Genomic DNA, 2934 nt, shown 5'->3' with positions numbered 1-2934 from the left:
GCTGGGAGGCAGTTGGAAGCGTTTTTAAGAGTTGGAGGTGGCTGTGAGAAATGGGAGGAGTTCCGTATTCCTCCAGCATTCTTCCAGCTGAAACTCCAAAGACTTAGTTAGGAGTCCTAGAATTAGGCAAGAGGCTCGTGCTCTGAGGTCAACAGTAGTAATGCAATGTCTTTACAGTAACAGCATATACTCTTACATAGTAGCAACATATACTCTTAAACATACAGATAGTTTAAAAATCCTTTTTATAATGATGTAATAAATATTCATTCACAAATGAACATATAGGGATAAATAACAAGGTTAAGATTACTCCTCACCACCCAGAGGTAACTGCTGTTGACATTTTGGTATATCCTTCCACCTATTTGTAGATACATACACACAAACAGAAATGGAATAGTCTAATTTCCAACTTGATTTTTTAACTTTCTAGTATATCAATATTGTGTACCTATAGCAGCATTTTTCATGGTTGCATGAATCTCATTTAGTTGATGGTTTAATTATCTAACAAATATTCAGTTCTTGCAGTTAAGCACTATTTCTGGCAGATTACCATGCCTGGATGAACAAGACAGATTATGTTCCTGATCTTATGGAATTCACATTTGTGTTCTGGCTTAGTTTTCATAGACTTGATGATTTCTGGGTCCTAGCATACTGTGTTCATCTTTTCCCAGATTGCTCACCCTGTCCAGGCTCATATCTTATTTTGATTTTTCTGCCTATGTGTATGGTGGCTTGGATGAACCTAGTGGGACTTCTAAGATCTTTCTATCCACTGCTGTCTTTTTGCCTTGATATAGAACTGGATAATTACCTCTGCTAATAATTTCAGTTATTAGGGTTAACATTTATTAGCAGACTAACTTAGGAGACTAGCAAGCCCTCGTGTACCTTAGATAGAGTCTAACTGATGAGGTAAAGAACTTTATTCTCCAACCCCAAAAGACCAGTTTCTCTAAGGAGTCTGAGACGTTTTACATAAACTTATTCAATAAATATTTACTGAACACTTCCTAGGTGCCAGAAACTTTCTAAGTGATGCAGGTACAGCAATGAATAAAAGAGGCAAAACTCTCTGCCTTTGTGGAGTTTACTTTGTAGTTGAGGGAGCCAGACAGCCCATCAATAAAATAAAACAAGTGGTGATGACCACTATGGAGAAAAAGAAAACTGGAAAGGGAGGTCTGGAGTGCAAGAGTGAAGAGTTGTTTTATAATGTCAAATAAGGTGTTCTAGAAAAACGTTTTCCCTGAAATTTCCTAAAATAAATTGGTCGTGATAAAAGGCCTTCTCTGTGTAATAAGTGCAGCAACTCTATGACAAGACTAACAGATATAACAAAAGTGATGATCAATGACTAAGGAACAAAAGAGCTGAACACATTTCTCAGTTAAAATGAAAAAAGGCCAGGCACAGTGGCTCATGCCTGTAATCCCAGCAGTTTGGGAGGCCAGGGTAGGGTATTGCTAGGAGTTCAAGGTCAGACTGGGCAACATAGTGAGACTTCATCTCTGCAAAAAACAAAAAATCAGTCAGGCATGGCAGCATGCACTTGTAGTCTCAGCTACTTGGAAGGCTGAGGTGGGAGGATTGCTTGAGGCCCTGGAGGTCGAGACTGCAGTGGGCTATGATTGTGCCATTGTACGCCAGCCTGGGTAACAGAGCGAGACCGTGTCTCTAAAAAATAAGTAAATAAAATAAAAGGATACAAAAGAAAAATTTTAAAAAAAGAAAAAAATCAAGCCACTTCATTGGCAGTTGGGTACACATTTTGTTAACAGCCTGTTAACAATTCTCCAATTTTATCTTTGCAATGTCTTCTCTAGGTAGTTATGATATTGATGGAAGCCCTGTTAAAAATAATTGTACCTGACCAACATACAGAGAAAAGAAAATACCTAGGTATAGAAGCAAAGTTTTAAACTGACTGAACCCTTAAAAGATGATGGAGGCAGATGGCTTAGTTATCCTCCAGGGATAACTGATGTGGGGATATTAATGGCCTTTTGTGTCAACTAAACATACATCTGTGTTCATGGTGGCATGCATCAGCTGAGGAGCAGGCATCTTCTAGGTACCAGCACCAGCTGAGAAGAACCAGCTTGCTTTATAGAGTTAGCCTTGGCTGGCAAATGGTGTATCCATAGAAGAACCGTAAAGCACCTTGGCCAATTTTCTATTAGTGGAACTTTCTTTGTAAGATTTTGCTGTTATAAAAATGCTGTGTACTTAACCTAATCATTTTCTCAGGATAAATACCTAAAAACAAGGATTGCTTAGTGAAAGTGTTTGCATATTTTTAAGTTTACAGAGCTCCTCAGACTTTAATGTGCAAATGAAACACTTGGAGATCTTGTCAAAATGCAGGTGGGATTTAATGGATATGAGGTGGGCCTGAAATTGTTTCTTGCAAGCTTCCAGGTGATGCCAGGTGTACCATTAGACCATATTTTGAGTTGCAAGTTTCTAATATGCTTTGCCAAGTTGCCTTCTATGAAGGAGATATGTTTTAATAGTATCTTGTGTTTACAAAGTGTTTTAAGTTGTAAAAATACTATCACATATGTTAATTCATTTACTAGTTCAGGACCATAGGCCTTACCACCCATCCATCTTTCACGCATGTGGAAATAAGCTTGCCTTAGCTACCAGAGAATTTAAGAATAACCAAGATGGCAATGAACTTCTTAAAGCCATGTCACATAAGGGGCCACTGAAGAAACTTCTGATGCTTAGCCTAGAGGAGATATTGAAAAATCCATGACAATTGCCTTCAAGAAGGTTCCTATACGGAAAAGGTCATACAAGCCTATTTTGGGTAGAAACAAGTCTCTCTAGGATTACATATGTTAATGATACAAAAAAACTGAGTTTGTCTCAATGTGAGAAAGAACTTTCTAGCCAACCGTGCTGTACAAATATAGA

The 2934-nt window shown here is 38.1% G+C and overlaps 1 long non-coding RNA gene across 2 annotated transcripts in view; it reads left to right on the top strand.

Annotated features, from left to right (window-relative positions):
• FMO1-AS1 (FMO1 antisense RNA 1) overlaps window positions 1-2934 on the top strand; it is a 131518-nt gene that overhangs the window by 66590 nt on the left and 61994 nt on the right. The window lies entirely within an intron of this gene.

The sequence above is a fragment of the Homo sapiens genome, chromosome 1 (genome assembly GCF_000001405.40).
Source record: "Homo sapiens chromosome 1, GRCh38.p14 Primary Assembly".
Taxonomy (NCBI): domain Eukaryota; kingdom Metazoa; phylum Chordata; class Mammalia; order Primates; family Hominidae; genus Homo; species Homo sapiens.
The sequence above is the reverse complement of the archived record's forward strand: the minus strand, read 5'-3'. Positions and strand labels throughout refer to the sequence as shown.